This window comes from Homo sapiens, chromosome 1 (assembly GCF_000001405.40).
Source record: "Homo sapiens chromosome 1, GRCh38.p14 Primary Assembly".
NCBI lineage: Eukaryota > Metazoa > Chordata > Mammalia > Primates > Hominidae > Homo > Homo sapiens.
Window position 1 is genome coordinate 85,728,075 of NC_000001.11, and position 24,709 is coordinate 85,752,783.

The 24,709-nt window shown below is 37.2% G+C and overlaps 1 protein-coding gene across 19 annotated transcripts in view; it reads right to left on the bottom strand.

Moving 5' to 3' along the window:
* The window catches only part of COL24A1 (collagen type XXIV alpha 1 chain), a 427,752-nt gene continuing 404,201 nt past the window's right edge, over positions 1,159-24,709 (bottom strand). For 16 of the 19 annotated variants that reach the window (NR_146340.2, NR_146341.2, NR_146342.2 and 13 more), the window contains 5 exons: positions 17,367-17,432; positions 16,592-16,760; positions 9,322-9,431; positions 6,675-6,890; positions 1,159-2,618 (listed from right to left, as the gene is read on the bottom strand). Coding sequence is in view for 13 of the 19 variants with exons in the window: in XM_047417004.1 (XP_047272960.1) it covers positions 2,472-2,618; positions 6,675-6,890; positions 9,322-9,431; positions 16,592-16,760; positions 17,367-17,432 (708 nt within the window). In the remaining 6 variants the exon portion in view is untranslated. The remainder of the gene's footprint in view (positions 2,619-6,674; positions 6,891-9,321; positions 9,432-16,591; positions 16,761-17,366; positions 17,433-24,709) is intronic. The other 3 variants (NR_146344.1, XM_047417015.1, XM_017000926.2) reach the window with 1 other exon arrangement.

Sequence of the window (24,709 nt, forward strand, 5' to 3'; positions counted from 1 at the left end):
TTCCAAGAGTCTTAGGAGCCCTGTGCCAGGAACCAGAGATAAAGACCAATATATTTTTGCATTATACCACAAAATTGGTACCTCCTGGTGGTTTTGATTTGCATTTACCCAACGACTATTGATTTGGGGCATTTTCTCTTTTTTTTTTTTTTTTTGAGACAGGGTCTCACTCTGTCACCCAGGCTAGAATGCAGTGGTGTGATCATGGCTCACCATAACTTCAACTTCTTGGGCTCAAGCGATGCTCCTGCTTCAGCCTCCTAAATAGCCAGGACTACACATGTGTGCCACCATGCCTGGCTAATTTTTAGAAAATTTTTGTAGAGATCGTGTCTCACTACGTTTCCCAGGCTAGTCTTGAACTCCTGGACTCAAGCAATCCTCCCACGTCAGCCTCCCAAAGTGTTGGGATTACAGGCATGAACCACTGTGCCCAGCCAGCATCTTTTTATTCATTGGCCATTTCTATATCTTTGGAGAAATGTTTATTCAAGTCCTTTGCCCATTCTTTAAACCGGGTTGCCAGTTCTTCTATTGTTGAGTCACTGGAGTTCTTTATATATTCTGGATATTAATCCCTTATCAGATATATGATTTGCAAATATTTTATCATATTCCTTGGGCTGCTTCTTCATTTTCTTGATGTGTTCTTTGATGCACAGAGAATTTTTAATATTGAGAGAGTCCAATTTGTCTATTTTTTTCTCTTGTTGACTGTGCTTTCGTTGTCATTCCAAGAAATCATTGCCAAATCCAGTGTCATGAAGGATTTTCTGTGTTCTTCTAAGAGTTTTATAGTTTTAGCTCTTTTGTTTAGATATTTGCTCCCATTTTGAGTTACTTTTTGTATGTAATATAAGGTAAGGGTTCACCATCATTCTTTTGCATGTGGATATCCAGTTTTCCCAGAACCATTTGTTGAAAAGACTGTCCTTTCTCCATTGAATGGCATTGGCGCACTTGTTGAAAGTCATTTGATGATATATGTAAGAGTTTATTTTTGTCATGGAAATAGGTCCTATAATCCTTTTGCAGGTATATAAAAGATACTTCTTAACAATATAAATATACATAACACAGAAAGGCTATGCCAGAGGGGCTATCATAAATAATAAAAGCATATTGTAACAAAAGAAGAAAAACAAATACCACCCAAAATTATTTAAAGCACATTTTTATTATAGATAGGTTAAGTGTGGTTTGCTGTGGCTAAAGATATATTTATAATGGATGAACAAGCTTTTCTAGATACCAAGAGGTATAATATTTTTCTTTCAGTATTGAACTAATATTTCTCTGATAACAAGGAGACATTGAACTGGCTGAGCCTATTTTAAATGGGAAAAGACTTTTTTTTTTCTGGATGTTGCTTTAAAGACTGGTAAATTAAAAATTTTAAAGTACTAACACTAAATTTAAGTACAGTGAAAGAAAATCAATGAATACTACAAAACATATAATTTCTACAAAGCAGAAATATAAAGGTTTTATAATTTAAAACAGCAGCAATTTCAAAAAATTTGCTGAATTAAAACTTTACAAAATATATATACACTAAGTATCATTCCAGATGATCATGAACTTTAAAAACAGTATGGCACAACCCCCAATCTGTACCCCAAACCTACTACTAGATGTAGCTGGCCTATAATAATTTTTACAACAATTTAAAAAATAAAACAAAAACAAAGAAATCTAATTCTTTTGCGTACAAGCACAGGTTACAATGTGCTGGCTTTGATTCCAAATACACAAAGAGAATTTTAAAATAAAACAAGGACTTCACATAAATAGTTTCACGTGTTATTAAGTGTGTGACCAAACAAATTAAAATAAGTACTAACAACCAAAACATATCTTGATGTAACCAGTACATACACTTTTAAAGAATGACAAAGATGAAAAAGGAAATAGTCTATGAAAGCCATAAGCACCTTGTTTTCGAAAGAGCACCAAGCAACACAAAGAGGCAACACGTAAGAGGTAGTGTATCACCGGCTAAGATGTATATGCCCATCGGGGACCTGAATACAGCTTAGTGTTTTGGAAAATAAGACATATTAGACTGTGGCTTGTAATTTTTAGACAGAAGCAGTGCACATCTGGAAGCATTAGCCAGTATTGCTCCATAGTGCTCTGCATCTCCAGCTGTCTAATGGGTACTACGCACTCAGTCAAAAATATAAGATACCCTGAAGAATTCCATATTTATAAATTTTTAGTTCTAGGGAATTCTCTAAGAAAGCTGAGATGAATATAATTTTTAAAAGAATTAAATACTTTATCAATCATAGTCCTTTAAAAATGCCTTTTCTCCTTCTTAGGAGGAAGTCTGTTCTTCCTGAGATTCTTTAAGATTTAGCCAATGCTTTATTACATGCATTTCATAATGACTGTATCTGTCTGTCTTATTTCTCCCTCTGCAGCAATTACCTGGCCAACAGCCTGAATTCGGAACTAATTCAGAGACTTTACAGAAAGCATACAGAACTGCTGTCAATGTAATACTTTCGTTCAGTTTTGAGATGAGGAAGTTTTTGTACTTCAATCACTGGAAGTTGATTAGGTTCCTGGGTGTGAAAAAGAAATGTTGCCTTATGCCAGCTGCCATCTTGAATCTGTAAAATAAGAACAAAATGCTTTCATACGCATTTCATTAGCAGTCACTTTCAGTAGACAATGCCTTTCACAGATAATGTGAACTTGTTTTAAGGATTAGAGATAACGAATAGAAAGTGCCTAGAACAATGCTCAATAAATGGTAAAATTACTATTATTAGTTGAAAACCTGGACTTATTCCTTTCTCTAGAATGGCACTGTCTGTTCTAATTTTTCACTTCCAGAGGCTAAGGCCAGGCTTCTGCTTCAACTGTCTGTGAATTATTGGACCAGATATGAATTAAAAGGCTGCAATACTCCTAATATGAGTAATAACCATCTGTTCTGTATTCCTTTATTTGGGACTGATACCTCAGGATGGATATTTTTCTTTGATAAAAGGGAACGAGCTATTTCAACCTCTGTATTTTAGGTAGAAAATAAACAGAATCACCTCAGTCAGAAATAGTTAAAATTATAATTATGTGCAATCATCTTTTAGGTCTCTTCCCCCCCGCCCCATTCTGTAGCTCTCTATTTATACAGTTTCCCTCTTTCTTCTCTTTTGTGTCTAATAAACTCTGTGGAACAAAAACATATCATAAGATATCCTGTGATTAAGATTCAACCAGACACAATAGAGAAAAACAATTGATGAGTTTTGTGGAGCTGTTATTTAGGAGCTAATTCACTTATTCACAGAATTATCATGATATAAATTTTAAATTTTGAAGGAACTTTAGAGATTATTTAAGCTATAAATTTTATTTTAAAGTTAAGGCAATTGAAGCTCATTGAAAATAAGTTACTTGTCTAAAGTCATAAGCTTGGTATGATAACAAGACCTAAAATTCTGTGTGTGAGGCACTGTTAGATTCATTCATTAAGTCTTTTAAGCAATATTTATTGAATACTAAGTATATTTAGCATAGTTGAATAAGATGTAACACTTAGTGTTCTTATAGTGCTTGTGAAATACACGATGAATACAATAGTTCTGGCTTCTAAATGCTAGTGGCTTATAAATCTAATTGAAGAGAGTAAAAACATAAACAAATAACCACAACAAAAGACCATCTATAGAAAGTACAATGTAAAAAATGTAGATAGTTAGTAAATTCCACATTTCTAACTAGAGTACTCAGGGAAAGCTTCATGAAAAAATTTGGAATATAGATGGGCTTTAAAGTATGCCTAAAATTTCCACTTGATTAGTGAGGTACAGAAAGGCATTTCAGAGAAAATGAATGGCTTAAGCTGAACACCCATACATATACACACACACAACAACCACCACAAAAAACTAAAAAACAGAAGGGCAAGTAGAAAGTGGCTGTGAAAATTAGCTTAGCATGGCGTTTAAATTCACGGATTTGACCTGGGACAGATTTTGATAGAAATTCTGGTACTCTCACTTTCCCCACATATAAAATGGGAATAATAAACACCTACCTCACAGGCTTGCGAGGATTAAATGAAGTTTCAATCAAAAGTCACTAGCAGTACAGTAAGGCCTGGGCTTTGGAGTTCTCCATGCCTGGGATTGATTTCTTTTCTTTTCTTTTTTTTTTTTTTGAGACGGAGTCTCACTCGGTCGCCCAGCTGGAGTGCAGTGGTGCAATCTAGGCTCACTGCAAGCTCCGCCTCCCAGGTTCACGCCATTCTCCTGCCTCAGCCTCCTGAGTAGCTGGGACTACAGGTGTCTGCCACCACGCCCGGCTAATTTTTTGTATTTTTAGTAGAGACGGGGTTTCACCGTGTTAGCCAGGATGGTCTCGATCTCCTGATCTTGTTATCTGCCTGCCTTGGCCTCCCAAAGTGCTGGGATTACAGGCATGAGCCACTGTGCCCAGCCATGCCTGGGATTGATTTCTTGTTCCTCCTCTAATTAGCTGTATGACTGCGATTATCTAATTAGCTGCATTACTTTAATTTTTATTTATTTTTTACTTTAATTTTTATTTTACTTATGCTAATTTTACTTACTTGCGAATTTATTTTTAATTATGCTAATTGGCTGCCTTACTTTGCTCAAAATAACCTTGAGCAAGTTCTCTGTGCCTTTACTTTCATACCTATAAAATAGGACCAATAATATATTCTTTACAAAGCTGTTATTATGAATAAAATAATTAATGTAATGCATGGTCACTTAACATATAATAAAACTCCCAATAAATAGTAGTAGGAGCTGTTGATATTATTATCCCTATTATTATTGTAACAGATGAGTTTGACCATAGTTTACAACAGACAGCCAGTGAAAGCCCAATCTAGAAAAGCAGGCTGGGGTCTGGTTGTTGTAAGCACTCAATGGAGTTGATAAGTTTGAATTGTGTCTCAGAGGTACTAGTGAGTCACTGAATGTTTCTGGGCCCAACTGTACAAGTTAAATAAATTTGTTGATGATACTCATCTCTTCAAATATAGATAATAAAATATATATACTTCTATTTGCTTATGATTTTTCAAGCACTATTTTCCTGGAAATAAAATGTTATGAAAAAGTAGAGTAACTTGGAAATGTTGAGATACTAAATCATGGGTTTCATAGTACACAAAGATAGGAAATGAAGCTACTTAAAATAATTAATGATACATATATAAAGTGTACAACTCCATTCTCTAAAAGAGGGGTCGGCAAACTCTTCTCTAAAGGGCCAGATAGTAAGTATTTTACATTTTGTGGGCCCTGCAGTCTCTGTCATACTTACTCAACTCTGCCATTGTAGTGCCATAACAGCCATAGATAATAAGTAAATGAATTAAGGATGGCTGTGTTCCAATAAAAATTTATTCACAAAAACATGGAGTGGGCCCGATTTGGTCTGTTGAACATAGTTTGCCAACACCTGCTCTAAGAAATAGTGTTTTAAAATTATAGATTTTTCATAGTAACTGTCATTTAATTTTTTTTTTTTTTTGAGATAGAGTTTTGCTCTGTTGCCCAGGCTGGAGTGCAGTGGCACAATCTTGGCTCACTGCAGCCTCTGCCTCCCAGGTTCAAGCAATTCTTGTGGCTCAGCCTCCTGAGTAGCTGGGATTATTGGCGTGTGCCACCATGCCTGGCTAATTTTTGTATTTTTAGTAGAGACGGAGTTTCTCCATGTTGGCCAGGCTGGTCTCAAACTCCTGGCCTCAAGTGAACCACCCGCCTCAGCCTCCCAAAGTGCTGGGATTACAGATGTGCCCCCACAGTGCCTAGCCCCATTATTTAATTTAATTTAATTTAATTTTTTTTTTTTTTGAGACAGAGTCTTACTCTGCTGCCCAGGCTGGAATGCAGTGGTGCGATCTTGGCTCACTGCAACCTCCGCTTCCTGGGTTCAAGTGATTCTCCTGCCTCAGTCTCCCAGGTAGCTGGGATCACAGGTACCTGCCACCATGCCTGGCTAATTTTTGGATTTTTAATAGAGACGGGGTTTCACCATGTTGGCCAGGCTGGTCTTGAATTCTTGACTTCAAGTGATCTGACTGCCTCGGCCTCCCAAAGTGCTGGGATTACAGGCATGAGCCACCATGCCTGGCCCCACTATTTAATTTTAATGGAAAAAAAATAGGCCAGAATTCAAATACTTACTGGTGGGGCCAGTCAATATGTAATTATACCCATATTTGGTATCAGGTACAGGGATTGACAGAATGAAATAAAACTCACTTGCCTCTATAACTTGCCTTTTATGCAATAATGAGATGTAGAATTACAGCAGTGAAAACACATGAAAATATTTATCCAAATACACTATCTATTTATCATTTATCTATCTGTCTATCTATCCATCCATCCATCCTGGTATAATTATTTCATATAGGGAATAAAAATTAAATTTACATCTTAACACCTGTTTTGCATGCAAAAATCTAAGACCAATTGGTATGACACAAGTTGATAAGGTATTATATAAACAAATGATTGATTCTAGAAAATGCAGTTACAAGTCAGGCACATTAAAACTTACTACCCTTCTGTATCTGCAGTTTGTAATTAAAGTCTTACTCTAATTATCCTAATTTTATGGTTTTATCAATTTTAAGTTAGTTATATTGAACAATTCTAAAAGTGCCATTTCCTTACCTTGCAGTCATCTGAAAGCACTTTAGGTTCAAGTAGAGTGTTTACTTTAAAAATCTGGCCATTCCATCCCTTGAAACCAATAGGCAATCCTGGGCCACTTGTTTGTGTGCTTGTCCACCTTGGGGTGTTTAGACAGTGAATGGTGATGATATGGGTGGCTTCCGAACTCAGTAAATGAAGGAAGTTCATCTGGACTTTCCCAACTCCAAACTCCAACTAATGTCATAGAAATGATATGCAGGTTATAACATGGCAATTGAGAAACTTAACAGTTCAGGAAAACCTGAGGAAAAGTCCTTCAAAGGCAGCCTCCAGAAAGCTCCTTTCCTTGGAACTGAAGTGCCAGTCAGTGGTGTGCTGGTAAATGTTTAACCACTGCTTCTTGGAGGAAAAACCATGATTTATAGTATTTCCTGACTCCTGTGGTAGAAGCACTCCCAAAGTGCTGGGATTACAGGCATGGCTGAATTCAGACTACCAAGGTGAGGTCACTGAACACGGCAATGGGAAGAAATGTTAACAAGTGGCTTTCCTGAGCCTATATGAATTGGCTCCAGCATACCATCAGGCTACTACATATAATATCAATAAAATAAAGATAATTTTCACAGTATATAAAGTAACAATTTGCTTTTGGTTAATGCTTTAATACTTTTTTTAATAAAAATCTGAGATTCTGTCTCTGCCTTCGAGATTTTTTTTGTGAGAGTTTCCAAAGATGAGTTACAAGCTGTAACAATAATTTGGTTGAGTAATTTTAACTTTGAGAGCCTTAACGGACTAGGACAGAATCCTATTCTTTGTGTTACCAGCCCTTAATGTAGTTTCATTCACACAGTGAATCGTCAATAAATATTTATTGAATGAATGAATGAATGCATAAACAAGTATTAACTAATATATATATTAGTTAATATATAGGACAATATCAGACTTAAGAAGACTGACTGCACGTTTCCCAGGCTTGAACAGGAAGGCAGATTTTCCTATAGCTCTAGACATGATTATTATTATTTTAGCATTATTCAAGCAGGGATATGGTCATAATGTAAGTGAACAGAAATAGTTCCTACTGAGGAATTTGTACTGATTTCCAAGCATAAAGTTAGAAAAATATCAGTTATGAGGTAATGTAGAAGAAAAACAATAACAACAAAAAGAAAAACAGAAAGAAAAAACAAAATGAGAGGAAAGGCAAAAGAAGGGCATACACATGGAAAGATAATAAGGAACATTAGAATTTAAGTAATTCAATTCCTTCATTTTACAGATTAGAGTCAGAAACTTGCAAACAATATTTAAGCTTTCTGAGCCTTAATTTCCTTGTCAGTAAATTCGGGTATAACACTAATCTGGCATGGTTGTTATGAGGATTAAAAATGACAAATGTAATTTACCTAGCATTGTTCCTGGCACAGAGCAGGCCCTCTGGTGGATCACAGTTTTATTCCCTAGGTTCATAGAATAGAGACTAGAACCCCAGTCCCTGATTCCAAGTCTACTGTTCATCCCAGTACTTCTCTGGTCTTCCTTGGGTTGAGTTTATGAATCAAAGAAATTAGAGAAGTGATTTGGTCATGGAAACAACTAGAGTCCGCTTCCCCACTGCTCCTATTTCCTCTGCACAGTTCACACAGCCCCATCTTCTTTCCTTCTATGATAATCCTATGCCAACTTCCACTGGAATGAGGATGATGATGTGGATATTTTGGAAGTAGGACTATCATGCTGCTCTTTATTAGAGGTTCATGATTCCCTAGGAATGGAAGGATCCTTCCCTCTTCTATTTCAGGGGTAATAATGGTGAATGCCTATTAAGATAAATTGATGGAATGCCCTGGTTAATGAAGAGAGGTGTTTTAGGAGGAGAGGGCGGTTCAATAAGAAGCAGCTAAAGAGATTGAATTTTATCTGCTGTCTTTTTATGATGAACAAAACACACAATAGGCACATGTATCAGTTCTTTGTCAATGAGAAATTCTTGATCATATATCAAGCTGGTTTAATCAGAAAAAGAAAGAAACATAGTTTTGGTTTCAATATATGTTATAGGTACAGCTAGGATTTAGGTTTTATAAATATTTGTTATAACTCCCAGTGTTATAATATATGTTAGTTTAACAAACTAACATGCATTCGTTCTAAACGTTTGATTTATAGAATTATTCATGAAAGAAGTTTTTAGTAGTATTCTGTGGATGTTTAAGAAAGGTTATTATGTGCCCAATAACCATAAATAGCAAGATTTTGTGGCAAATTCTTTTTTAATGATTATAATATAATTTTCAGCAAAACTTCAGGTAACTGATTACTGGTTACAAACACTAGCTGTTTAAGAAATTTCTAATGTGTGTGTATGCATAAAAACATAGCATATGTTGCACAATTTTAAAAGGAATTTAAAAAACATGATCAGTAGGGTAAGGCAAACTAAGCCAAATAATAAAAAGACACAATCAAAATGTCAAGATTTACTGTGATTAACTAGTTTTAAAAAATAACATATTTATTTCTCATACACAATAGAGAATAATCTTTGCTTTCATTCTTAAAATTCATAATTATTTAAAATGATAGAATTTTAAACATAATTTTTCACTGATACTGTGCAATATAACGACATGTGTTCTAAAATTCAGTAACATACCTTTGTTACAGAAACAGGAGGTAAGCATGTCTGGCCACCAGCACTGAAATTGCAGAAAACCTCAATGGCATCTGAAGGACAGCCAAGATTTGGGTCAATCCAGTATTTTCCTAATAATTTATAGTAAAACATAAAGTTAAAGTTATTAAATGCCATAATCCTTATAATTTCTTTTTTTTTTTTGAGAGAGAGAGTCTCATTCTGTTAGCCCAGGCTGGAGTGCAGCGGTGCGATCTTGGCTCACTGTAACCTCCGCTTCCTGGGTTCAAGTGATTCTCATGCCTCAACCTCCTGAGTAGCTGGGATTACAGGAATGGGCCACCACACCCGGCTAATTTTTGTATTTTCAGTAGAGATGGGATTTCACCATGTTGGTCAGGCTGGCCTTGAACTCCTGACCTCAAGTGATCTGCCCACCTCCACCTCCCAAAGTGTTGGGATTACAGGCGTGAGCCACTGTGCCCGGCCACATCCTTATAAATGGTCATGGTACTTTAAATACATATTATCACAGTTTCACCTGTTAAAAACTTAGAAGATTATATATTTACATTTAGTGAATGAATGAATGCTGCATTATGTAAAATTGATACTAAAAATGCTGTATTTTTCACATAACTATCAATTTCAGAGTGTTTCATAATTTTAATCAATTATGATTAAATTATGATAAAATGATAGAATAGCTGAATTGATTGCTTCATTCTACAGATAAGAAGATGTGCTCAGCAACTAAAAGTGAATTGTTTAGTTACATAGTTAACAAAAAAGTTGAACTTAATGAAGTATATGTGTATATTTCTGTTATACATCATTACAGTGTTTCAAACGAACATTTTGTTTTATAATAGAAACAACTTCCATCTCTTGAAGGAAAAATATATCTTTATGTATAATACTGATAAGTAAAATAAAAATATGAGAACATTTTTGTTTTCACAAAAAAATCATACAATTAAATGTTTATCATTTTTGTACTCTTTCAGATTTTCCCACTATCACTCAGTGGGAAAAACTGAGGTCCCTATAGCTAGTGAAATTCTACCAGTCTTTGCTCCACTGAGTGCCCAAGAGAATAAAACTGGGCCTAAACTCAGACTACAGAAAATACTTAGACTGAAAAGCAATGGCCTAGCATCTTAATTCCAGACTAATAGACTGAGAGTATTAAAATAGCATCTTATTCCAAATACAAAGGACAGGAATTTTTGAATAAGGCAGCCCTGTTTTCCTGCATTAAAAACGCAAGAACATTCAATGGTTTTTGTTAAATGTCATTTTTTCTACAGTAGGCAGAAGTCCTTGTTCATTCCACTTTTATTCCATAGCAAAGATTCCTCTAGCTCATCCTGAGTTTCCTCTAGCTTCTAAAACATCCTCAAATATTCTCCTCTCTACTATTCTACTAATCCCTCTAAATGCTTACTTGCTTAATTGGTAGCTCAAAGGGTAGAAATGGTCCTCAGCTGCAGCAGTGTTCAAACTTTAGTGTGCATCAAACCATCACTAAAACACACATAGCTGGGCCCTACCCTTGAGAGTTGCTGATTTATTAAGTCTGGGGTGGGGCTTAAGAATCTGCATTTCTAACAGTATCTAATTCTGGTCCAGGGATCACATTTGGAGAACCACTGATATATTGAAATACAGAAGAAAGGGGTGAAGGAGGTCAACCATTCCTAGTCCCTTATCTTCAGAATTTTGAATATTTCATAAAGTTTTTAGAAAGTACAGCTGAATTTTTCATCAGAATCTGATGAGGGCTTCCAGTCTTACCTAATGGAGTAAACATATATCTTCTTTCACCTTCTCTTGTCTTCCAAGAAATACTATCCTACTACTATATGAGCTAATAATAAAAAATTCTTTATAAAAGGTTTTCCATCAAGCAAATTTTATTTTTATATGGGGTGAAATGCTTTGAATTCAGGTGTTATATTCTATTTGGGTAGGGGCTCCATAATTTCTTTCAAGGTATGCCAAGCTAGAGATGAAGTCCTATACCATGACATATCTTTTGTGAGCCTAAATGTTCTGACTCAAAACTAGCTCTTCCCTGAGGACACTGCTTCTCTTGTAGCCTCTACAGTGTTGTGCCCGAAGGTGGCAAGGCATCTTTCTTGCTCTTTGTTGCTACTTACAGACCATTCTTTGCATTTTCTCCCTGAAAACACTCCATATTGAAATTACTATAATCACATTATATCATTCATTAGTTCCTCCTGGTGTAATCATTTACTATTTTTCTATGACAATTTTAGCTTTTTATCACTTTCAGAAAATCTACTTATGACCTAATTCTTGGTGATTTTAAAGCCACATAGATGATGCTTTCAACATGTTGGTCTTCAGTTCCTTGAATTGTATCCTCCCCAACCCTCTTACTTTTCCACCAATGATCTTGTACCCTCCCCCTACCCTCGTACCTTACTTTAACCATTAACTTCCAAGGCCATATCCTAGCTTTTGTTATTACCAACAACTGCATCTCCTCCATAATTTCATTTCTCTTCTCTTTCCAGTTCACTCCCTCTAGTGTCCTAACTCCAATAATTCTTCACTTTCATCGGGACCTACTATCACTTTTTCATTGCCCCTAATGATCATATGTTCACTTCCCTTCTTACCCAGCTTAAAAATCCACAGTCCTTTACTATAGTAATGTCCTTATAAACTTCCTTACACCCTTGCCCTGCCTCATTTCACTCTACTTGTCTTATAAATCCCCAATCCTACGTAAGTTTCTCCCTAACCTGTGCCTATACCTGCACAGAAAAAAGTGGTAGGAGAAAAACACAACTGTTGTGATGGGCATCCTTCAAATTCAAATGTGTCTGTAAAGCTGCTAGACAGTAATATGGTGTTTCCAGAGTTTATTCCCTCTATCACTAAGATAGTTAACTATCTTACACCTATTCATTCGCTCTTATCCTCAACTGATAAGCTTCCAATTTCAATGAGACAACTGAAGGAATCTGAAGAAAATTTATGTAACTTATATAAACTCCCACTATCATATCTACCCACATGTCTGTGCTTGTACACATATATTCTACCTTCTCTCTCTTTTTGAAATAGGAATTTCTCTCTTGCTCTGTTGCCCAGGCTGGAGTGCAGTGGCATGATCTTGGCTCACTGCAACCTCCACCCCCTGCAGGCTCAGGAGATCCTCCCACCTTAGCCTCCTGGGTAGCTGGGACCACAGGCACATTCCACCATGGCTGGCCAATTTTTCTATTTTTAGTAGAGATGAAGTTTCACCACGTTGGCCTGGCTGTTCTCAAACTGATCCGAAAAAAATGTTGGCCTGAAGTGATCTGTCCACCTCGGTCTCCCAAAGTGCTGGGATTACAGGCATGAGCCATTGCACCTGGCCTGCCTTCTCTCTTATTATAGTGAATAAACTGTGTTCCTATAGAAGAATTATCCTAAGGCCGGGCACGGTGGCTCACGCCTGTAATCCCAGCACTTTGGGAGGCCGAGGCGGGCAGATCACGAGGTCAGCAGTTTGAGACCAGCCTGGCCAAGACGGTGAAACCCTGTCTCTTCTAAAAATACAAAAAAAAAAAAAAAATTAGCTGGGCATCGTGGCTGGCGCCTATAATCCCAGCTACTTGGGAGGCTGAGGCTGGAGAATCGCTTGAACCTGGAAGGCGGAGGTTGCAGTGAGCCGAGATCGAGCCACTGCACTCCAGCCTAGGCACAGGGGTGAAACTCTGCCTCAAAAAAAAAAAAAAGAAAAGAAAAGAAAAGGAAAGAAAGAAAGAAGACTTATCTTGTTCATTATACTTGCAGATTTAAATTCTACTTCTTTTCTCTCTTTTGAGTCTGCTTTCGTTGTCTGCTGTTTCTACTAGTTCTCATTCATGGTGTTGTGTCAACTTGTGTGTTTGGTTGTTGATTGTGTGCTGGGCACTGCATTTTTGAAATTATTTGTGGAAATAGTTTGAGTTCTAGGAAAATGTTATCTTTTATAGAAGATTTTTGTTTGTTTCTGACAGTATGTGGGAGTTCCAGCAGTTTGGAACCATTTTAATACAAGTTCAAAGTTTGGGATTTTCTGAGCTATCCAGATGATGTGAAGCAAAGCTACAGTCTGTATGAATGTTCGTTTTCTTCCAGTTTATCTTTACTACTAGAATGCAGGCCTTTGAAAGTCTAAGTCCTCACCTTTGGTGGGCCACAGATTCTAACTTTTGACCCCTACCTCCTGAAGCCACCAAGCTTCTCAACATACTGGGGGCAAAAGTAGCTCCAAATGTTGGGTTCACTTTCTGCTGTCTCCTTTAAAGTCTCAGCTTGAAAGTTCATTGCTGTTTGTTATTTATTTTATGCTTTTAACTTAAAAAATTAATTTAGCCAGGTAATATGAATTATGTGCTTCGTTACTGGGAATGAAAAGTTCCTAGCATTATCCTTTTCTCTTAAAATCTGATAAGGTTTTAACTACTACCATTCCTCTAAACTGCTCTTGATGAAGGTCCTTAATGATGTCTGCATTGCTAAATTCAGTAGTCTTCCTCAGTTTTTGCTTTACTTAACGTGGACCCAGTTAATCCCTTCCCTCCCTCCTCCTCTGGCAAACATTTTCTTTGCTTGATTTTCAGGACACCACATCCAGTTTGCCTCTTATCTCAGTGATAGCTGCTTCTTAGTTTTGTTTGCTAGTTCGCCCTCACCTTCCTGATCTTTAAACATTAGAGAACCCTAGGATCCAGTTTTTAGACCTCATTTCTTTTTTCTTTTTTTTTCTTTTGAGACAGAGTCTCACTCTGTGGCCAGGCTGGAGTGTGGCGGTGTGATCTCAGCTCACTGCAATCTCGGCCTCCTGGGTCAAGTGATTCTCCTGCCTCAGCCTCCTGAGTAGCTGGGACTACAGGTGCGTGCCACCACACCCGGCTAATTTTTCTGTATTTTTAGTAGAGATGGGGTTTCACCATGTTAGCCAGGATGGTCTCAATCTCTTCACCTCATGATCTGCCCACCTCTGCCTCCCAAAGTGCTGGGATTACAGGCATGAGCCACTGTGCCCGTCCTAGACCTCATTTCTTCCTTTACTTACTATCTATGTAGTCTTAAGCAGTCTTAAGGCATTAAACACCAATTAAATGTAAATGATTTCATAATTTTTACCCTTACTTAGGATCTCCTTCTTGACCTTGAACTTGAGTAGTCAACTACCTACTTGACATTCTTACTTGAATGTCTAAGAGACATCTCAAAGTAAATATATCCAAAATTTTACTCCTGATCTTATCTCCAAAATTGCATCTCCTGTTAACAACATCCCACCCTTTTACAGAAAAAAAAAAAAAACCCTGAGAGTCATCCTTTACCATTCTAGTTCTCTCATAACCCACATCCAATCTATCAACAAAAACTGCTGGCTCTACCTTAACCCATTTATTCCTGAGGTTGTAATTTTTTTGAATTTTTGCAATCAGACCTTGGTGATGACCTTAAGAAGTAGGATATAAATGACTCCCACATGCTTAGTGTTCCAATAATGGAACGCTAAGCATAAAGCATATTCAAGAATCTAACCACTTTTTACCACTTCCCCTGCAACCAACTCTAGTCCAACCAACCATCATCTCTCCTGGATTATGTCAATATCCTTCTCAGTGGTTTCCCTACCTCTACCCCTGTCTTCCTGATTGTATTTGCAACATATTAGCTAGAGTAATATTTTAAAAATCTGAGCCAAATTATGTCACTTCTTCGCTCAGCAATTTCCAATGGCTTCCCATCTTATCAAGAGTACAAGCTAGAGACTTCTGAGTAGTCTAGAGGGTCTTGTATAATTTGACTTTTTGATATCTTTCTAATTTAATTTCCTATCATTCTCCCCTATATGCACTCTCTTCCATTCATACTGGCTTTCTTGCTAATTCTAAAACTTGCTAGGTATACTCAAAGACTCAGGGCTTTTGCATTTATTCTTTGTGCCTGGAAAGCTCTTTCTCTAGATTTCTTGTGGCTTGCTCTCTTACCTCCTTCTGATATCACCCAAGTGTCACATTCTCATAGATGCCTTATCTGATCATTCTATTTAAAAATTGTATCTTGTGCTCCACTTCCTATCAAATCTCCCTACCCTGCTGTTTTGTTTTTCCTTATAGCACTTATGATATCCTAGTGATGAAAGTATTTGGGGGGCGTAAAGATTTTTTGAACACTGCACAATCCACACCATTTAGCTATTTCTCTTATAAGGAAGGTAGACTTTGAATTACATTTCATACTAATTTTGTATGTCTTACAAGATCTTTGTTCCTTTCAATTCTACAGAATTACACTTTAATGCCCTCAAATATGGGAAAAAATCAAGCTGAGAATTATTATAGGCAACTACAATTTTAGTATTATTTTAGTTTTTATATTAATCTAGGGCAGAAAAATATCTTTAGAAGTTAAGTGTTTGATTAATGTAAACAAAATGAATGTTTTCATTGAAGTTCTAGAACGGAAGCAGATGTTTTGGACATGTGTGTATGTGCGTGTTTGTGTGTGTGTGAGTGCATGTATGTGAGATGTGTATGTACAAACAAAATTAAAATGACCACAGAATAACATAACATAGCTTTTTCAAATCAGCATTTTTCACATCAGCACTTTTCAAATCATACATTTTTTTTTCAAACATGTCATTGTGTTAAAACTAGAGTTTGTAGCAGACAAGGTTTCCCCTGTTTAACTGATGACTTACTCCTCTTGATTTAAAACCTTTCCTTGGTTGTTCTAATCTAAATTCATTTTTGCACCTCTGGCTAATGAAATCGGGGCATCTGTGTTGAGATTAGACACTTCCAAGAATGACAAACCGCTCCCATCTTCATGGTCATCAATTCTAGAAGGCGACATTTAAATTCCATTTTGTATTAAAAAAAACCCAGACTTTTAGGGAGTATGGTGAAGGAGATGCTATAATATATTTATTTATGTTGCTAACTTTTGTAGTCCTGACTTACCAAGTTCTGATGAGTACTACTGTCTGTTAATGCAAAGGTCAGGCCTACCTTTCTTAATTTTTAATATGAATATGCTGTATACCAAGTACAAAATATAAGCAAATGATATAGCTAGGGGTGGATGACATCAGAATCATGTCTCCCTCATAGAGAATTTTATTCTTGATGACATTAAAATGGCTTCTGCCAGGGTTTTATCAAACTAACTATGATTTGGAGTGAACACATTACAAATCTCAAACACACTGAAATGATGAAATGAAATTCACTATCAGAGTTTGAGGTAACCAAGAACTTACCATCTGATACTTTTTGTTCACAGTTAAGTAAATCTTTGCAGATTCGTGCTGGGTTATCTCGTGTGCCAAGAGGATTCTTGATGCTGTGCAATAAATTGCTAAGGTAGTTCAGGGTTTTGAATATCTCTTCACTGTGGTCAATTAAAGTCACTTCAGTATTCTGGTAGCTCTGCCAAGTCATCATAAGAATTATATAAGCAAAAAAATCCTGAGGACCAACATGGGCCAAGGCAGGAGAAGAATGTGTTTCCATTATGTGTAGTAAGTTGTGAGTAGAATGTAAAGAACAGTTTATATTTAAGCATAGGCATATGTGTATGCTTTAATAACCTTAATCTTTTAAAGAGGTTAAATTCACATTTGCAAGTTTAGTTTTCAAGCTAACATAAGAATTGCTATGTCTACTGTATTATGTTTTTTAAATTACACATTGAATCATTAGAGTTTAAATAAATGAGTAGTGATAATATATATATCTCATTTTAAGAAACATGGCTAACCTCATTTAACTACTTTCTTGGATAGTACCAAATTCCTTACAAATAACAGTACTAAATTTTTGATTTAAATGTTTTCCTTACAAAACATCCTACGCATATATTTCTGTTTAATTATACCAAAATCACTTACTTTGTTCTTGAGAATGGTTTCACATTTTCAATCTGTTTTAAATACAATCTTTGAGATAATGTCACATTTTGGCCTCCAAAAATTTTCTCTGTTTAATTGGTATATTGAGAGACAGTGCCAATATAAATAAAACCAGATATGTTACCTCCATCTGTAGGGCAGTATTTGATTCAATCAAGGCTTGAATAGCAGCATTGATATCCATTTGCTTCTGTGTAAAACAAAACCATTTGAGATTAGCAATAAGATCAACACTGAGTGCCCTAAAGTAAAGGCTGTAAATTCTGAAAGCACTGCTGTTAAAGTATACCAGACTTATTATCTGAAGGGGTTCTGTAACTCTTACGGTTAGACAGATTTTGCAAATATTGCCTGGATATCTGAAAGGACAATATGCCACCTTCATCCAAATCTCAAACGTCTCCTAATTAAAATAGGACCAGAGTCTACAGTCCTCAGATGAAAAACTATTTGTTTCTGTTGCCTGAAAACACACACACAAAGTTCCTCAAATGGAAGAGAATAAAATATGATCCTCTCAGTTAATAAATTGTAAAGTGAAGAATAAATAACTGTAGCAATTTTTAACAGTTACATTCTTGGAAGGAGTAGAATAAAATACTACTGTCCTGAGGTAGTCACCACATTAATTTAATCTGATACTTCTGCGGTTTTAAAAATAATTTCTGAAGTTGGAAAATGTACCATGAGTCCCAAAAGAAATAATACAGAATGAAATCAATCTCCTCTTGCATTTAATAAAATATATTTTTAGAAAAAGACTGAGCACAACCATTAGTAAAAGTCTTTTTTTTTTGTAATTCTTTTAAAAAAATTATCTTAGAACAATGAAGCATGAGTTGGGAGAAGGTTCTGGGAAATGGCATCTGTGTAAGTGAAACAAGCAATTTAATTTCTTTCAGTCATTGTACTGTGAAGACATCTTTTTACTTGAAGGCTGCATAATAGAAACTGTATTCAACAGATATCTCATAGCTCATGGTTGGTAGTTTGAAAAACTATTTGAAATGATGGAATAATCAATAAAATGTACTCTCCCTTGCTTCAGCATGTGTTGTTCATACTGGAAAATAATTGACTCATTCTGCATATATATACTGCCAAACACTGTGATATATATTGAGGATAAAATGGTAAAGAAAAAAGAAACTTGCCCTTATGGAACTTAAATTTAGAGAGGAGATAGGCAATAATTAAATTATCTCAAAAATCCTAATTACCAATTGAGATACATGCTATGAAAGAAAAGTGCACGAAACTATGAGAGAAATTAGAGAAATTAATCAAATCTGGAAAATGTAAGAGGTTGGAAGGAATAGGTCAGGGAAGGCTTCCCTGAGGTAGTAAAATTTGAACTGATGTCCAAAGAATAAATAAGAATTGTTAGGAGAAGGGGTAGGAGAGCTTTCCAGGCAGAAGCAGCAACCTGGCACAAAGGCCATGAGACAGAAGGAGCATGGACTATTCAAGTAGCAAAGAGGGTAAACCTAAAATATTCTCTGCAGATTAAATAATTATGACCATCCTGCTTGCGTGAATGAGCAGATTTTGGATATGGGTCACACAAAAATATTGGCACTAAATATGGGAAACTGAATTAAGGGCTAAACCATAGCCACCTTTATGTTGTTCACTTGGTCCCCTGCTGGTGATTATGGGTTTTAATTAGAAAACCTAGCATAGTGGTTCTCAAACTCTTCAGAATCAGAATCCTTTTGCACTTTTAATAAAGGATTCCTTTATTATTAGAGGCCTTACAAATTTTTTGTTTATGTGAATTATAACTTTTTTTTTTTTTTTTTTTTTTTAATTTGAGATGGAGTCTCGCTCTGTCACCCAGGCTGAAGTGCAGTGGTGCGATCTCGGCTCACTGCAACCTCCGCTTCCCAGGTTCAAGCGATTCTCCTGCCTCTCAGCCTCCCAAGTAGCTGTGACTACAGGCTTGTGACAACACACCCAGCTAATTTTTGTATTTTTGGTAGAGATGGAGTTTCACCATGTTGGCCAGGCTGGTCTCAAACTCCTGACCTCAGGTGATCTGCCCGCCTTGGCCTCCCAAAGTGCTGGGATTACAGGTATGAGCCACCGTGCCCGGCCAACTTTTGATATTGACTATAGTAGAAACCAAAATAAATTTTAAAACTATTCATGTGTCAATTGCTTTAAAATTTCAACAAACCCATTATATGTTAATATAAATATTTTTATAAAAATTAACTATATTTTCCAAAACAAAAAAATTAATGAGAAGGGTCACCCAGTTTTACACTTTTGTGCATTTCTGTAATGTCTGGATTAATAGATTACAGCTAAATTCTCATATTTGTTTTTGTATTCAATTAGTTGTGAAGAAAACCCAGCCTAATAGAGATATGTAGTAGGAAAAAAGAAAAGTATTTAAGTCGTGTTTTTCAAATAATTATGGATTTTCTTCTTTCATATTATACCTTATACCAAAACTTGATAAGTGGTAGTTTCTTAAAGGTTAGTTTTTGTGGGAAAACTGAACCCACCTCAATGAACGTTTTGTACTTTTATACTAAAATCCATTGGTCTGTTTTATACTTTCATAGGTCTTTTGCTTATACATGATTTTATTAACATAATATATTGATCATTCTGAAAATACTGATTTATGGAATTATGCAGGTCTTCCAAACACAGATACAGCTCATTCCTTAATGTCAAAAATTACATTTGTTAACATCATTAGGAAAACATAATGTTACTTATCAGGAAAACATAAGTACTGGGAATCTGTCAAATCCTCAGTGATAAATACATGTTTTCCCTAATTTTTATTTTTGCTTGAGAGCTTGAAATTTCTCACTGGCATCAAATTCTGTCAGTTGTTTTCCTTGAAATGGAAGGCTAACTTCATTCATTTTCAAGAAAATATCTGTGAACTACTCATGTCTTAATAATGCTGGTAGTCTGTCAATAAAAAATGGTACTCTATGATAAAACTGGCTAGTTGGGTTTGCAACTCAAATAGCTGCACAGTGCTTTTGAAGCAATCACTACAGTGTGCACTATATGTACTTTATATGTCCTTCCATTTCATCTACGAAATATTAAAAAGATATTTAAAGAAGATAAGAAATCTAGGAGACAGCAAAAGTGGTGGAATAATAGCCTTCCAGAATTCTCTCTTAGGCAAGTTAAAAAATGAAATAAAACCATGTCTTTAGAACTAAAGGACAGAGGGAGGAGCCAAGATGGCCGAATAGGAACAGCTCCGGTCTACAGCTCCCAGCGTGAGCCACGCAGAAGACGGGTGATTTCTGCATTTCCATCTGAGGTACCGGGTTCATCTCACTAGGGAGTGCCAGACAGTGGGCGCAGGCCAGTGTGTGTGCGCACTGTGCGCGAGCCGAAGCAGGGCGAGGCATTGCCTCACCTGGGAAGCGCAAGGGGTCAGGGAGTTCCCTTTCCGAGTCAAAGAAAGGGGTGACGGACGCACCTGGAAAATCGGGTCACTCCCACCCGAATATTGCGCTTTTCAGACCGGCTTAAGAAACGGCGCACCACGAGACTATATCCCACACCTGGCTCAGAGGGTCCTACGCCCACGGAATCTCACTGATTGCTAGCACAGCAGTCTGAGATCAAACTGCAAGGCGGCAACGAGGCTGGGGGAGGGGCGCCCGCCATTGCCCAGGCTTGCTTAGGTAAACAAAGCAGCCAGGAAGCTCGAACTGGGTGGAGCCCACCACAGCTCAAGGAGGCCTGCCTGCCTCTGTAGGCTCCACCTTTGGGGGCAGGGCACAGACAAACAAAAAGACAGCAGTAACCTCTGCAGACTTAAGTGTCCCTGTCTGACAGCTTTGAAGAGAGCAGTGGTTCTCCCAGCACGCAGCTGGAGATCTGAGAACGGGCAGACTGCCTCCTCAAGTGGGTCCCTGACCCCTGACCCCCGAGCAGCCTAACTGGGAGGCACCCCCCAGCAGGGGCACACTGACACCTCACACAGCAGGGTATTCCAACAGACCTGCAGCTGAGGGTCCTGTCTGTTAGAAGGAAAACTAACAACCAGAAAGGACATCTACACCAAAAACCCATCTGTACATCACCATCATCAAAGACCAAAAGTAGATAAAACCACAAAGATGGGGAAAAAACAGAACAGAAAAACTGGAAACTCTAAAACGCAGAGCGCCTCTCCTCCTCCAAAGGAACGCAGTTCCTCACCAGCAACAGAACAAAGCTGGATGGAGAATGATTTTGACGAGCTGAGAGAAGAAGGCTTCAGACGATCAAATTACTCTGAGCTACGGGAGGACATTCAAACCAAAGGCAAAGAAGTTGAAAACTTTGAAAAAAATTTAGAAGAATGTATAACTAGAATAACCAATACAGAGAAGTGCTTAAAGGAGCTGATGGAGCTGAAAACCAAGACTCGAGAACTACGTGAAGAATGCAGAAGCCTCAGGAGCTGATGCGATCAACTGGAAGAAAGGGTATCAGCAATGGAAGATGAAATGAATGAAATGAAGCGAGAAGGGAAGTTTAGAGAAAAAAGAACAAAAAGAAATGAGCAAAGCCTCCAAGAAATATGGGACTATGTGAAAAGACCAAATCTACGTCTGATTGGTGTACCTGAAAGTGATGTGGAGAATGGAACCAAGTTGGAAAACACTCTGCAGGATATTATCCAGGAGAACGTCCCCAATCTAGCAAGGCAGGCCAACGTTCAGATTCAGGAAATACAGAGAACGCCACAAAGATACTCCTTGAGAAGAGCAACTCCAAGACACATAATTGTCAGATTCACCAAAGTTGAAATGAAGGAAAAAATGTTAAGGGCAGCCAGAGAGAAAGGTCGGGTTACCCTCAAAGGAAAGCCCATCAGACTAACAGCGGATCTCTCGGCAGAAACCCTACAAGCCAGAAGAGAGTGGGGGCCAATATTCAACATTCTTAAAGAAAAGAATTTTCAACCCAGAATTTCATATCCAGCCAAACTAAGCTTCATAAGTGAAGGAGAAATAAAATACTTTATAGACAAGCAAATGCTGAGAGATTTTGTCACCACCAGGCCTGCCCTAAAAGAGCTCCTGAAGGAAGCGCTAAACATGGAAAGGAACAACCGGTACCAGCCGCTGCAAAATCATGCCAAAATGTAAAGACCATCGAGACTAGGAAGAAACTGCATCAACTAACGAGCAACATCACCAGCTAACATCATAATGACAGGATCAAATTCACACATAACAATATTAACTTTAAATATAAATGGACTAAATTCTGCAATTAAAAGACACAGACTGGCAAGTTGGATAAAGAGTCAAGACCCATCAGTGTGCTGTATTCAGGAAACCCATCTCACGTGCAGAGACACACATAGGCTCAAAATAAAAGGATGGAGGAAGATCTACCAAGCCAATGGAAAACAAAAAAAGGCAGGGGTTGCAATCCTAGTCTCTGATAAAACAGACTTTAAACCAACAAAGATCAAAAGAGACAAAGAAGGCCATTACATAATGGTAAAGGGATCAATTCAACAAGAGGAGCTAACTATCCTAAATATTTATGCACCCAATACAGGAGCACCCAGATTCATAAAGCAAGTCCTGAGTGACCTACAAAGAGACTTAGACTCCCACACATTAATAATGGGAGACTTTAACACCCCACTGTCAACATTAGACAGATCAACGAGACAGAAAGTCAACAAGGATACCCAGGAATTGAACTCAGCTCTGCACCAAGCAGACCTAATAGACATCTACAGAACTCTCCACCCCAAATCAACAGAATATACATTTTTTTCAGCACCACACCACACCTATTCCAAAATTGACCACATACTTGGAAGTAAAGCTCTCCTCAGCAAATGTAAAAGAACAGAAATTATAACAAACTATCTCTCAGACCACAGTGCAATCAAACTAGAACTCAGGATTAAGAATCTCAGTCAAAGCCGCTCAACTACATGGAAACTGAACAACCTGCTCCTGAATGACTACTGGGTACATAACGAAATGAAGGCAGAAATAAAGATGTTCTTTGAAACCAACGAGAACAAAGACACCACATACCAGAATCTCTGGGACGCATTCAAAGCAGTGTGTAGAGGGAAATTTATAGCACTAAATGCCTACAAGAGAAAGCAGGAAAGATCCAAAATTGACACCCTAACATCACAATTAAAAGAACTAGAAAAGCAAGAGCAAACAATTCAAAAGCTAGCAGAAGGCAAGAAATAACTAAAATCAGAGCAGAACTGAAGGAAATAGAGACACAAAAAACCCTTCAAAAAATCAATGAATCCAGGAGCTGGTTTTTTGAAAGGATCAACAAAATTGATAGACCGCTAGCAAGACTAATAAAGAAAAAAAGAGAGAAGAATCAAATAGACACAATAAAAAATGATAAAGGGGATATCACCACCGATCCCACAGAAATACAAACTACCATCAGAGAATACTACAAACACCTCTACGCAAATAAACTAGAAAATCTAGAAGAAATGGATACATTCCTCGACACATACACTCTCCCAAGACTAAACCAGGAAGAAGTTGAAACTCTGAATAGACCAATAACAGGCTCTGAAATTGTGGCAATAATCAATAGTTTACCAACCAAAAAGAGTCCAGGACCAGATGGATTCACAGCCGAATTCTAGCAGAGGTACAAGGAGGAACTGGTACCATTCCTTCTGAAACTATTCCAATCAATAGAAAAAGAGGGAATCCTCCCTAACTCATTTTATGAGGCCAGCATCATTCTGATACCAAAGCCGGGCAGAGACACAACCAAAAAAGAGAATTTTAGACCAATATCCTTGATGAACATTGATGCAAAAATCCTCAATAAAATACTGGCAAACCGAATCCAGCAGCACATCAAAAAGCTTATCCACCATGATCAAGTGGGCTTCATCCCTGGGATGCAAGGCTGGTTCAATATACGCAAATCAATAAATGTAATCCAGCATATAAACAGAGCCAAAGACAAAAACCACATGATTATCTCAATAGATGCAGAAAAAGCCTTTGACAAAATTCAACAACCCTTCATGCTAAAAACTCTCAATAAATTAGGTATTGATGGGACGTATTTCAAAATAATAAGAGCTATCTATGACAAACCCACAGCCAATATCATACTGAATGGGCAAAAACTGGAAGCATTCCCTTTGAAAACTGGCACAAGACAGGGATGCCCTCTCTCACCGCTCCTATTCAACATAGTGTTGGAAGTTCTGGCCAGGGCAATCAGGCAGGAGAAGGAAATAAAGGGTATTCAATTAGGAAAAGAGGAAGTCAAATTGTCCCTGTTTGCAGACGACATGATTGTTTATCTAGAAAACCCCATTGTCTCAGCCCAAAATCTCCTTAAGCTGATAAGCAACTTCAGCAAAGTCTCAGGATACAAAATCAATGTACAAAAATCACAAGGATTCTTATACACCAACAACAGACAAACAGAGAGCCAAATCATGAGTGAACTCCCATTCAC